General features: G+C 38.0%; 1 protein-coding gene across 25 annotated transcripts in view, besides 1 other annotated feature; it reads right to left on the reverse strand.

The window, feature by feature from the left end:
* The window catches only part of ST18 (ST18 C2H2C-type zinc finger transcription factor), a 299,042-nt gene that overhangs the window by 234,312 nt on the left and 49,740 nt on the right, over window positions 1-14,990 (reverse strand). The gene's annotated exons all lie outside the window — the stretch shown is intronic.
* Window positions 407-607: a silencer, noted in NCBI's record as "peak7016 fragment used in MPRA reporter construct". NCBI's record gives its function as "represses an SCP1 promoter by STARR-seq MPRAs in K562 erythroleukemia cells {active_cell/tissue: K562}" and the evidence as "EXISTENCE:reporter gene assay evidence [ECO:0000049][PMID:32103011]".

The raw sequence follows: 14,990 nt of genomic DNA on the forward strand, positions 1-14,990 counted from the left end.
TATTATTATTTACTATACCCACCATGCTGTACACTAGATCTCCAGGACGTACTCATCATAACAATATCACTTACTTTTCAATTTAAAAGATAAACCTAGACTTGGGGATCTAGATGACAAATTAGTCATCCAGATTTGTCTCTTATCCTTCCTGATACCCCACAGAAATGAATGTTAAAACTGATTAAAGAAAAAGGAAAGAACTTCACATCAACAATTGCAGAGGGCTTGGCAATGAACGATGACTTCACCATATTTCAAGAAAATGAAAAGCAGATGAGAGAGGATGGATGCATGAAATGCAGGGAGAAAGCTGTGGCCCAGAAGGTTCTGTTAAGAGGCTGCAGAAGAGATGATACCAGTATATCTGACAAACTCCAGTGAGTCTAAGAGTGATGGGGATGGTGTAAGCAGAAGTAAACCTGCAGCCGTCCCAGCTGCCTTCATCTCCAACCCAGCTCTTCCAACCACGCCTATAGAGGATGTGAAGTTGGAATGTCTACACAGGCAAAGCATGACAGCTGTCCTCTAAAGACTTGTCATTAAGTGTCTGGGAAGCTCCAAGACATCTCATGTATGCATTTCTACCTCCAGGGAAAAGCCTTCGTATTCTGACATTTGGTAGGGCCTCGGCTTGACTCCTTTCTTATCTGCTTACTAGAAAGCAAAGATTCCTAGTGATTAAACCCTTCTCTACTCTGCCCAGAATCTTCAGCCAGAATTTCTACTCAAAGGAGAGATACAGAATTTCAAAAATATCTTAAATATATAAAAACAAAGAAAAGTTATACTTTCTACCCAAGAAATCATAAACAGATCATTAGTTATATGAAAAAATAATCTCTAGAAAGAGAAAGATCAAATATATCAATGGAAAAACTGACCCCAGAGGAATTAGAGTAAATTCAGGGAACATAATAAAAATGAAAAACTAAAAACCCCAAATAATAAAATTAAAAACAGTAGGTGACATATTATATTCACACAATGAGAAAAAGGCCATATGTAAAATTTATTTTATTTTATTTATTTATTATTATTACACTTTAAGTTAAAAGTTTTAAACGAAAATAAGAGGACTCTCTGAAAATTTAAATATGGAATTGCCAAAATAAAAATTTGAAGAGAAGCCCTAAAACACAAAGTCAAGAAAAAAGAAAATTTTATATTATGTAAAATAAAAAGACACAAAGACCAAGAATATGAGATAAAAGATGAGACCAGTCCAAAAGTTCCAATATACAATGAAAAAATCCCTTGAAAAACTGAGAAAGTAGAAAGGAGGAAATGACAATAAAAGAATTTCCCATAGTGAAAGAAGAGTTGAATTTCCAGACCACAAGGCCCCTAGTGGGCAGCTCAATAAATAAACAATGTGACGACCCACACGCATTATCATCACATGTCAGAGCATCACGAGCTCCAGTAGGAAAAATAAAGCCAACTGTAAAGCAATGATAAACACAACTGCATCAGCCTTCTCGCTAGCCACACTGTTGCTACAAGTTAGTAGAATAGTACCTTAAAAGCTTTGAAGGAAAATATTTTTTTTAACCTAGAATGTTAGCTCCAGCAAAACTTCAAGTGTGAGATCAAAATAAAGACATTTTCAGATAGCTGTGGATTCAAGAGGATAGAAAGGTTTCGAGGGTGGGGAGAGATGGAGAAGGACTAAATGGAATGAGTGGTATGATTTTAGGAAAAAACAATGGGAGATGAACAATCTCTGGGGGAGAAAGGAGGAAACGGCTGGAGTAGGGGAAAGCAAAGAGAAATTCTGTAAAATCCAAAAAATATAAACAAAACCATGGTCTAAGTAAAAAGCAATTTAAACTGTGGTTTCATTTGAAGAAATAAAAGGTGTGTAAGAAAAGAGTTCATTTGACCTTGATGCTGGAAACAATCTCCCTAGAGTGATCCAGCAGTCAGAGCATTGGGCACAGGAAGGTAGCTATGTAGTCCTGGCACAATGCCTCTTGGTCTAGAACAAAATATTATTTGTAAGGTTATGGTGACATAAATAGTAAGTAAGAAATAATAAGTAAGAAGTAATAAATAATATAAATAGTAAATCTGTAAGGTTATGATGACATAAAATATAAATAGCTTTACTGTAAAAGCAGGAAAAGCTTGGTTGTGACTACAAGATGGAATGCAGACATTCCTCAACATTCTGAAAGTATAAATTGATGAGAAGTGGGATATGGAAGACAGAAAAACAGAGGAAACAGCAGAGGCGCTTATACTCGTCTTACAAAGCAGGGTGTTGCTAGAGAATGGCGTTATTGATATGGACCAGAACAGTTCAAATACATTATAGGCAATGTCAAAGTAATCAATAGAAGAACTAAAAATATTTATATATCAAACATTGGGATGAAGAGAGAGGAGAGAGGGATAGAATAAAGGTGATTTTTCCTCATTTTTCTTGTTGGTGAGCCAATAGATATTTTCTAAAATTCATAAATAAAAACACGGGGTATGGTATGAATAGTTAGCCATTAATGACTACTTACTGTATCCCAGGCACTATTCTAGGAAGTTTTATGCATTAATTCCCACAACAACTCAAAGAGAAAAATGAAGAAGCTGAGGCACAGAGATGTTAAAGAAACTGCCCAGGGAAACCCATCTGGGGAAATGGTGGAGCCTGGATTCAAATCCACCTCCTCTGGCTTTGAGCATGTGCACTTGATCAGTGCAGACTTCCTTCTCACAGCAGCACAGACTGTTTCCAGAGTGCCAGGCACTAATCCAATTTCTTTAGATGAGTTGATTTAATCTTAATGTAGACATATATTAAGACCATATATATTTAAATATAGATGTGTACCACCATTTTTTTCATTTTACAGATGAAGAAACTGAGGTGGGCAAACTATGGTCCATGAGCCAGATGTGGACTACACCCTGGTTTTGAGTGGCTCACGAACTGGTTTTCACATTTTTTAAGTGTGGAGGAAAGGGAAGGAAGAGATGAAAGAAGGGGAGGAAAAGGAGAGGAGAAATAAGTATCACATGTGGCTCACAAAACCTAAAATATTTTATATCTGATCCTTTATAGAAATGATTTACAAACCCCAGTTCTCTCAGTTCTACAGTTAAGAGCAAGGCAAGTGGATGCCTCAGATAAGGACTGCATCTTTCAGCCTCATTGGAACTAAGGAAGACCATGAGGCTTTGCTTTGAACAAGAGAAAGCCCAAGCATCGGCAGCTTCTGAACATCTTGGTTCAAAACAGCAGACATGCCCCACCACTGTCCTGTCTTCTTCTATTTTTTAAAAAAATGTTTATCTGACAGATAAAACTGTGTATATTTCAGCTGGGTGCGGTGGCTCACGCCTGTAATCCCAGCACTTCGGGAAGCCGAGGCGGGCATATCACCTGAGTTCGAGACCAGCCTGGCCAACATGGTGAAACCCTCTATCTACTAAAAATACAAAATTATCTAGGCATGGTGGTGTGCGCCTGTAATCCCAGCTACTCGGGAGGCTGAGGTAGAAGAATTGCTTGAACCCGGGAGGCAGAGGTTGCAGTGAGCCGAGATCGTGCCATTGCACTTCAGCCTGAGCAAAAAAATGCAAAACTCCACCTCAAAAAAAATTGTATATATTTATCATGTACAGTATGAAGTTGTGAAGTATATATACATTGTGAAATGACTAAATCTAGCTAATCAACATATTATTATTAGATATAGTTATCATTTGTGTTCTGGGAACACAACACCCACTGTCTTAGCATTTTCCAAGGATGCAATGTATTTACAATACCATATTGTACAATAGATCTCTCAAACTGATTTCTTCTAGCTGAAGTTTTGTACCCTTTGACCAACATCTCCCCCATGCCCAACCCCCACGCCCCAACCATTCTCTAGTCACCACTATGCTCCTCTGCACTTCTGGATTCCACATATGAGTGAGACTGTACCGTATTTGCCTTTCCATGCCTTGCTCGTTTTTTGTTAAATCTGGAGATCACAAAGTCCTCCAGGTTCATCCATGTTGCAGCCCTTGACAATATCTCCTTCTTCTTTCTCCCTTCCCTTCTTCTTTGCCTTTTATCCTTCCCACTGGTGGAGACGTGGTAGACAGCCTGTGTCCTGAAGGCTTTGTGGGGTAAAGCTGCCATAACTGTCCTGAACTGCCAACCTTCTAACCTTCGTGTGATTAAGACATGCCTTTTTACCTTTATTAATCACTGTATTTTAAGTTTTTGTTTCTCCCAGCTAAACCTACTGCTAACCAATAAAATATGATAATGTATTACTCTGACGTTCTGTTAATGTAACTTACTCAAAGATGTTGCATAGAGTTTGAGCTCATCCCACCCAGCCATCTAAAAATAGGTCCTCACTCCATATTATAGGGTAATGCTTTTTAAATTGAAACAAAATGATCATCTTTTCCTATACCTAAGTAGTCATTCAACTTTGTTTTCTGGGACAAATATAAAAGTGTGAGAATACTGAGTGGAAACCAATCTGACTTATAGGGTACAAAGCAAAACAAATTTCTGATTTCTAGCACAAATGTGTAGCTCAACTCACAAATCTAGGTTTTCTGTGTATCAGTCAGGGTCCTGGTGGGAAACAGATGGCACGCTCAAGCCGGGTAATGTGAGGAGTGTTATATAAAGAGACTGCAAAGGTGTGAGCAGGATGTGGGAATCAGTGAGGAATCATGGAATATCCCAGGCAGAGCAAGGAGGGAGAGTAGGGGGTCAGGGGGAAGGAGGAGGACTGTCTGGAAAGCCCCTAGCAGGGGCTGGAGCTTTTGAGATAGGCACACTTGTCCCGACAGCAACTGTGCAGGGAGAAACAGAGGGATCAGGAATTCAACACAGCAACTCCACGCCCTTCCTCCTGTTCCACACCCCGCAGGACCTCCCATCACAGAACCCGGCCTGAAGTCTGAGGAGGGAGCAGGGTGGGAAGTGTGGGGATGAGCATGGAGGGACCAGGGACAATAGCCATCCAGGTCTCCCAAGACAGAAAACCCAAAGTGTGTGGGTTAAAATATCCTTTGAGGTTCTAACTTAATTAATCATTATGCTCATGAAAAATAACTCCTTGCATTAGAAGCTCTTATTAGGTATCCCAATCCTTCTATTCTATGACGGACAGAGGGACACAGTGGATTAGAGCACTAGAGACTGTTTCCCAAAAATCTGAGGGGAAATACACTTCTGTGACGTGTTTGACCTTGAGACAAACGATTCTGGTGATCTCCTGTGTACAAATATGCAAGGTCTGATTTAGACAGCAGAGACACCCACAGCTAGGAAATTGTAGGTCATGGCCCCAAACATCAGAGGGTACTCAAGTACCATCCCTATTTTAATGTGAAATGAGGTACAGTCATCCTTCATTTGGAAACAGCAGCAACTGCAAACCAAACAATCCTTTTCTAACTCTTGAAAACTTGTTTTCAAAGTTTTGAGACAGACTACAACAAACCCTGTATGTTCCCAGACAGGAAGTGGGGGAGGCAAGATCACGGGACTTCTGTCATCCTTCTATGCCATTTTCATCACAATACTCACCTCTCGTGTCACTTGATATATATATACTTTTTTTTTTTTTTGAGATGGAGTCTCGCTCTGTTGCCCAGGCTGAAGTGCAGTGGCCCAATCTTGGCTCACTGCAACCTCTGCCTCCCGGGTTCAAGCAATTCGATTGCCTCAGCCTCTTGAGTAGCTGGGACTACAGGCGTGTGCCACCACGCCCAGCTAATTTTTTGTATTTTTAGTAGAGACGGGGTTTCACTGTGTTAGTCAGGATGGTCTCTATCTCCTGACCTCATCATCTGCCTGCCTCGGCCTCCCAAAGTGCTGGGATTACAGGCGTGAGCCACCGTGCCTGGCCGTCTTTTTTTGACTGCTACTCCCAATAAATATTAGCGTATTAATAACAGATAATAAGTCTGTCTTGGTATCTCCTAGTAGATGCTCAATTAATGTTTGTTAAATAAATAAATATCAAAATATATTTATTTTCCAACACATTATTTGGCGTAAGGCTTACTTGGTATGAAATGGATCATTTCAGAACAGCTCACTACCACTTTCTAGTTTATCAGCATCTGATGAGATGAGAAAACAACAAACTCCTGTTTCAAGTGACACTTCCTCCAGGAAGCCTCCCAATGAACAATTGAAAGTGCTGTCTTCACTGAATCTGCAGAGTACACTGACTTGCCTTTCAGGTCTTGTTAGCAATTTTTTCTACACACCAATTATTCCTCACTATCAGGTACTTAATTACAGATTCCTTGAAGACAAAGCTTAATTGCACACTGCATATTTTTCACACAATGGTTCCTTCCCCATAGGAGCCCAATGCTTATTAAATCAACTCTGAGATATACTGAACTCTCATGACATAACAGCATCTTTTCTATTTGCCATCTTTGACAAATTTTTTACACATCTTCTTTGTAATTCTGGAAGCAAACACATGAATTGTCCTGTCAAGTCGAACTAATGTTAATTATACCAGCTCAAGTGGGAGAGAGAAAAATACTTTTAAAAAGTTAAATGTGATCTTCAAATGTTTATATTGTGAGTGAAGACTTGGGGCAACTTCTTTAAACTTGAAATTAAAACTCCATCGATCTAGCTTTGATTTATTTTGAGGACAAATGGCATGACCTTCGGGTGGTTCACAACAATGAACAATCAGTTAAAACTCTAGAATCTAAAGGTTGGGTAGAAAAACAATAACTTCATGTTATGCAGTCACAGAGTCTGAGAAGCGTACTTCAATCATTGGTACAAATGTGTGTTAAACACTGGAATCAATTTTATAGAGATCAAAAAAATTTATATGCAAGTAGCTGCAATGGAAATTCAGAAAACAATGTACATGTGGCATCGATGAAAACCCAAACCTGCAGAGCACCTGGAGTTGGAAACCGGGTGGATGAAAGAGCCAGAAATGCAAAGTGTAGTCGATTTGGCATGTTCCAATGCCAAACAGAGCACCTGCCCCCCACTTCTTTGTACACCCATATACTTTGGCACAGTTTGCCACGTCTGCTAAGAGTGACTCTTGAGGAGTGAGAGGCGATGGAGAAACAATGGAGATAAAGTCAGCCTAGATTGCACTTGGCGCGGACAAGACCACAAGCCCCAGCTTTCTCCAGGCATTAGGCTCACTTGCACATTGTGTAATGTAAGATTTCCTCAATATCCAAGCAACGCAGTGAGCACAAAGACAACTCAATACTCTCAACTGGGTGCCTTTTTTGAAACTAGCTTAAACATGGTCATGGAACCCAGAGAGTGCTCCGAGATTTAAAGAATCACAATCCTCATTTTCCCCAGAATCCATGTGTGCATCTCTTCTCTGCATATTTATGACTTTATTTTAAGTGAAAGTCACAATGGCACCTGAATGAACCCATCAGCTAAGTCTAGGGCTGTTTTCCAGGTGAATATAGACATAAGGTGTGTGAGAGGTTTGGATCAGCAACAGTCAGGGAGCCTCTACTCTCTGCCAGGCCCCGTGCTGGGCACTAGCGACACTCATGAAGAAGCCACTGTCCCCTGCTCCAGTGGGATGGATAAATAAGCCCAGTGTGTTTTCAATCTGCCTTCATTGAGAGGAAAAATCACGGGACTGCGCAAAACATTGCAGAGAACCGTGGGAGAAGAAATGTTACCTGCTGAGTTACCACCTATATACCAGGCAGTATGTATTTAAAATTCCTCATTTCTTGTTCATGAGTGTTCTAAGAGTTAGGTGACCAATATTCATTTTATGGAAGGGTCAAACTGAAGTTCAGCATGTAATAAAATAAACAAGCTGTGATCTTCCAGCTACTATGGTAGACTCAGGATTCATCCAGTCCAGTCTGATTCTGAACTCCTGTTCTTTCCACTTTTCCACACTTTTTTGCACAAATAGGCAGTGCACAGTGATCCAGCATCAAGGGGTTTGTCGTATATCAAAGGGAGTAAGATGTGGATATAAATGACAGTATCCAAAGATAGAGTTATGTATTAAAAGACAGAATATGCTAATGTGGGAGAATTCTTAATAATAATAATACCATTTATTGAACATTTAATAATGTACCTCACACTGTCGAAGCACTTTACATGTTTTTGTCTAAATTTCTGGAAGTATAAAATAAGCACAATCTTTCTTAGATGGCTCACTATAAATAAATTATTTTAAAGCCACCATAAATAATGTAGTGCCCTGTGGCAAATAATATTTTTAACCACTATAAATAATGTTGTAGAAAGGCCTTTGGGCACAACAAATAATGGTACTAGACGCTGAGAGGAGATAAAGAAGAAATAGAAAGTGTTGCCTTTGCTGCCAGAAAGTTTCTTGTCTAAATAAAAACACACTCTCACAGACACACATGAAAAAATGTATGAGCAACTAGGAATTAACATAGAGAAACTATTTACATAAATATTAATGGGAGGCAAAGTGAATGTATTATTATGAAAATAAGAGTTTTAATCAGGTGTTTCAAAGCATGTGCCAAAGAAGAACTGAAAGATAATTATAGGTAGGGGAAATCAACTAAAACTGTAAACAAATAAGAAAAGAAAGGGTTGAATATAATAAGATAATTAGTGTAACTCACCTAGCATGGTGCCCGACCAAAAGGAAATGTTCAGTGAATGTCAATTTCTGCCTCTCCCTTCGCCTCTGCTGTACTTAAGACTCCCGGTTGCAGGAAACAGAGAATACAGCTCCATCTGCCTTAAGCCAAACTAGGTTATGTATATTGGCCCATGGTGTAGCTACAAAGTCCAGAAGATGCCTCTCTATTTCTCAGCCCCTTTCCTCAGTGTTTTGCTCTTGGGCTAGCCCACTCCACCTGCTGAACAGCGTCTTCCGAATCCAGGCCTTCACTCTCCCAGCCCAAGTCCAGCACCAAAGAGCACCAACCTTTCCAAAAGTTTGAATCACTGTCATATACTTGGTTGTCCCCAGCCAGGACCGAGTTATGTGCTCACCACTTGACCTCTGGAAGGTCTTTTGCTTTTACTGAAAATGAAATGGGGAGTGACTGGAGAATTTTGAGAAGCAGAGAGACATGATCTAACTTTAGTTTTACAAGAATCACACAATCTGCAGCAAGTGAGGGTGAAACCTGGAAATTCAGTCTAGAGGCTCTAGCAGCAATCAGATGAGCCATGATGGTTGCCTCGACCGAGTAAAGTCAGGGGGAGTCTTGAGAAGTGGTCAGATTCAGGATATGATATTTTCAGAGCATGGGCAAGACAATTTCCTGAATAACTGGATATGGTATGCAAGAGTAGATGAGTCAAGGATAATATTTGAAGCCTGAGTAAATGAAAGATGAAGCAAGTGTCTGATAGAGAAAGTCAAGACATCCAAGTAAAAAGCTTCAGCAGGCAGGGGATACATAGTGTTTGAATTCGCAAGAGAAGTCTGGGATGGAGATATAATAATAGAAGCATGGATAGAAAGAGACGAGGACCCTGGATTGAGCCCTGGAGCCCTCCAATGTTATTTTGTAAGGAAAGGGGAAAGGAATACATGAAGGAAAGTGAGGGAAGTTACCAGTGAGATAGGAGGAAACTCAAGAGAGTGTGGTGTCCCTGATGCCTAATGAAGAAGTTGAGCAAGAAAGAGAAGGGATCAAGAGCCTCAAGCTTTAGACTGGCCAAGACAGATGTCCTTCAACAGCCCACCTCTAATGCTGGCAGTGCTTGGTGCTAGAGCACAAATATGGGCTCCCCATGTGTCTAAATACTTGAACATTATAAATCAAATTCAAAGACTGTTAAGATAAAACATATTCCATTCTCCTGCATTGAGAATTACACCTTCATAAAAGCCTAGAAGGCCATGTTCAAAAGGAGACTTTTCAGACTCCTCATAGCTCTAGAGGGAACTCAGCAGCACAGGGGTATTGGCCCATCCCTTTCTCTTCTCACCACAACTCCCTCCCACACTGTGAGGGTTCCTGCAGACACAAGTGTGAACATCCCAGCCCACTCCTAGACTTGGGCAAGACTTAGGCCCTTATTATCTGCCAATGACCACCCTCTCCCTTCCACTCTATCAAGAAGTTCACAGTGCCAAAGGAATGTTCCCACCTGGAGCCAGTGCCCTTATCTATAGACCATGCTTTGGTAACTGGGCTCATGGAATGGTCTATCTAATGGCCGTGAACCTACCTCCGGGGCCTGTGTGGGCCTCCTCCTAGTTTCATCCTCCCAACTGTATGCCCCCAACCCCTAGCATAGCCAAAATGTAGTTGTTTGCAAGAATGTAGACAGAATGAGGACAAACAGGCTGGTATGTTCTCATTTGTGGATAATGATAATAAAGATTACTAAAAAAGGAGACATAAAGCTCGGTTCAAAATGACAGAGGTGGGAACTCTAGGGCTCTATTCATCCACAAAAGCAATAAGCTGGCAACAACTGTCAGAATCAACTTCTACAGAATTTTGGAATTCGGTCAAAAACTTATGACAATGAGTGATAGGTGTGGTAATAAAAGAAGCTGCTGTTTTGCAGTAAAAGATACCGTGTCATCTTAAACTGCCTACCATTCTCCAATCCTTAGGTCAGTGGTGATGGTGAGGTCAAGCAGCCCACACTGCTGGTTCAGGTTTCTAGTTTTAAATGGAGCAATACAGGCATTATTATCAAGGGACTGTGGTTGTCTATTTTGATCTGTCGAGTAGCTCCCTGCACAAATGGAACAGGGCTTGCCTTCATTTCATCTGACTTGAAGCATTACAAGGGCTAGGGCAGCTTCCTGGAAAGCTTTTGTTAAAAGATGCAAGTATTGAGCACAGCAGCCAGGAGCAAGGGATAACAACCAGACAAGCAACACTCAGGCTGAAAAGTAGTGGAAGAAAAAGGTTGGAAAAGGAAGTACATGGGAGAATAAAGGATTTAAAAAGTTCCCATGTACACAAGGAATCAAGAAGGACGTGCACAAGCTTAGAGTTGGATGTATGTTCTGAAAAAGCCTGAGAAAACCCTAAGCTGTCACCTCTGGCTGACATTCAAGCTTCACACAAGCAGGAACTGAAGGCTAAAGTGGAGTTGTAAACAGCCTGGCTAAATATTAAAGGAGTGTCCCAATACCGGGTCAGTTTGAAAAGACTGGGAGAGTATTTATTAATATTTATTGTTCTTTCTTTTTCTTTTTTTAGCCCCAAGTGTTTAAGAAAACTCTGTCAAAACACTAGGTCACCTCTAGCTAACAGCACACAGACTTCAGCGGCCACACATACACACACAAAGTCAGACTTTATAAAAATAGTTTAGAAATGTCACTAAACAAGCAAACAGTAACAACTCACAACAAGCAGTAGCAACAAACTTCAGTGAAGGGGAGAGTCTGATTTACAGAGTTGTCACATTATAATATTCAAAATGTCTAGTTTTCAACAAGAATTTATAAGGCATGCAAAGAAACAAAAAAGTATGGCCTATTCACAGAAAAAGAGAAATCAGTAGATTATGGTCATTGAGGAAGCCTGAACATTGATTGGACTTACTAGACAAAAACTTTAAAATTTAAATATTTTCAAAGAGTTGAAGGAAACCATAGAATAAGAACTAAAGAAAACAAAGATAAAAATGCCTCACCAAATAGAAAATATCAATGAAAAGAGAGAAATTTTCAAAATAAAGGAAACAGAAATTCTGGAGTTGAAAACCAAAATAAATGAAATGAAAAATTCACTAGAATGGTTCAATAGTAGATTTGAGCAGGCAGAAGAAATAATTCATGGATTTCAATATAAGTCTTCTGAGATTATTCAGTTTGGAAGATCAGGAAAAATAACTAATGGGTATTAGGCTGAATACCTGGGTGATGAAATAATCTGTACAACAAACCCCCATGACACATATTTACCTATGTAACAAACCTCCACATGTACCCCTGAATTTAAAATAAAAATATGAAAAAATATTCTGGGTACATAGTAGGTGTATATATTTATGGGGCACATGAGATATTTTGATACAAGCTTGCAATGTGAAATGATCACATCACGGAGTATCGAGCTTCCATCCCCTCAAGCATTTATCCTTTGTGTTACAAGCAATGTAATTACACTCTTGTACACAAAAGAAAGCATTAAGAATTGAGAAACAAAAGTTCTAAATTTATAGAAAAGAAATAGAAAACTGGCAGAAGTAAGTCGTTTCTTACCAGTGACTACTTTAAATGTAAATGGATCAAACTATCCAATTAAAATGCAGTCATCAAAAGAATGGATATGAACAAATATGACCCAACTATATACTACTTATAAAAGACTCACTTTAGATCCAAATACACAAACAGATTGAAAGTGAAAGAATGGAAAAGATATTCCAAGCAAATAGTAACTGAAAGAGAGATGATTTTACTATAGAAATGTAAGATGAAATAAAATATAAGACAAAAATTGTTAAAAAAGACACAAAAGACATTGTTTATCAACAAAAAGTTCAATCCATCATGAAGATATAACAATTATAAACATATTTACACATAACAAATCCCCAAAATCTATAAATATATATATATATATATATATATATATATATATATATATATATATATATATATAAAACAGACTCAAAGGGAGAAATAGTTCCACAATAATATTTGGAAATTTTAATTCCCCACTTATGTTAATGAATAGATCCATAAGGAAATAGAGGCCATGAACAATAGCATAAGCCAGCTAGACCTAAAAGACATGTCTAGAGCGCTCCACCTCACAGCTACAGAATACACATTTTCTCAAGCACACATAGATTATTCTCTAACATAGACCATATGTTGAACCACAAAATAAGTCTCAATCAATTTTAATAGGTTAAAATTATAGAAAGTATTTTCTCTAACCACAATAGAATAAAAGTTGAAATTAATAACAGAATGAAAACTGAAAAATTTACATGTGTATGAAAATTAATCAATACACTTTTTAACCAATCAGTGGGCCAAAGAAGAAATTACAAGTAAAGTTAGAAAATACTTTGAGATAAGTGAAAATGAAAACACAAAATGCCAACATCTATGGGATCCACTGAAAGCCATGCTAGGAGGGAAATTTATAGCTATAAACACCTCTACTCAAAAAGAAAAAGGATCCCAAATTAATATCCACCTTTACACATTAAGGAGCTAGAAAACCAGGAGCAAGCTAAACCCAAAGCTAGAAGGAACCACAGAATAAAAATTAGAGTGGAGTTAAATGAAATAGGGAGTAGAAGAACCATACAATCACCAAAACTGAAAGTAGTTTCTTTTAAAAAGGGAAAAAAATTGATAAACTTTTAGCTAGATTGACAAATAAGAAATGAGAGAAGACTCAAATTACTAAAACCACAAATAAAAGTGGAACTATTGCTACTAACTTTATAGAAATAAAAAGAATTGCAAGAAAATAGTTTGAATAATTGTATACTAACAAACTAGATAACCTCAATGAAATGGAAACATTTCTAGAAACACACTAACTACCAAAACTGACTCGAGAAGAAATAGAAAAGCTTGAATATACGTTTAGCAAGTAAAGAGATTGAATAAGTAATAATAACAATAAACCATACAACTACCACTAAAGACTAAGCCAATATCAGTGAATTGGCCTGGTGAATTCTACCAAACATTTAAAGAAGAATTAACCCCAAATTCTTCTAAAACTCTTCCAAAAAAAATAGAAGAAGAAGGAATGCATCCCAACTCATTCTATGAGGCCAGCCTTACCCTTATACCAAAGCCAGATAAAGACATCAGAAGAAAAAAACAAAAACCTATAGATCAATATCCCTTATGAATATACAAGCAAAAATCCCCATGAAAATACTAGGAACCAAATTTATTTAATAACATCATATTAAGAGGATTATACTCTATGATCAAGTGTGATTTATCCCAGGAATGCAAAAAATGGCTCAATATGTGAACAATCAATCAACTACATTGACATGGCATTAATAGAATGGAGAAAAAAAAACACATGATATCTCAATTGATATAAAAAAAGCATTTGAGAAAAATTCAATACTATTTCAAGACAAAAACATTCAACAAACTATAATAGAAAGAGAAGGGAACTGCCTCCACGTGGTAAAAGGCATTTAAGCAACTAAATAGAGGTGATAGATACACGACACTGTGAATCTACTAAATGCCACTGAATTTTACACTTTAAAGCTGTTAACTTTAGATTATGTGAACTTTACTTCAATTAAAAAAGGAGGAGGAAGAGGCAAAGAAAGCGAACCTGCCATAACCACAATGAACAAAGTTGATGGGTTTCCTGCTCTAATAGGGCTTAAATTTGAATGGCGTAGACACATAAGAAGCAAAGAAATAACTAACGTGTTGAAAACTTACTATGTGCCAGGCACTATTCTAAGCACTTTGAGTACAAAATCACGAACTCATCAGAACTTTCCAATGAAACAGGTGATCTCCTTTTAACAGATAAAGAAATCAAAGCAGCACAGAGAGATAAAATGATTTGTCCCTATTCAAGTAGTAAAAAAATGGCAGAGCCAGGATTTTAATCCAAAGAGTCTAACTTCACAGACTATGTTCATAACTATTATACTATATAATGTCACAGCTCTGAGGAGCAAAAAATAAAGCAGGGTATTGGAGATGGCACTGCTGAGATTCCTAAGTACTCTACTGACATACATTTTGATTGCTATAATTAAATTTGGCTGCTACACATTAAGATTGATAAAAGTACACAGTGAATAGTCTGAAGAATTTTAAAAGAACTTGGAATGTGCCATTTGCCTTGCATCCATTTGAGATAAGAATAGATATAGCAACAAATAGCAAACCAAATTCACATTGTGAACCATGAAATCACAAGTAATTTTCAAACTTCTTATTGGAAGCACTGACTTATATAAAATTAGTATGAGAAACTAATTTAAATATTATCAAGTTCAGTTTCATTCTTCTATAGTTAAGGAAAATATTTTGGAGACACTAGATAACTTGCTACTT

The sequence above is a fragment of the Homo sapiens genome, chromosome 8 (assembly GCF_000001405.40).
Source record: "Homo sapiens chromosome 8, GRCh38.p14 Primary Assembly".
Taxonomy (NCBI): Eukaryota; Metazoa; Chordata; class Mammalia; order Primates; family Hominidae; genus Homo; species Homo sapiens.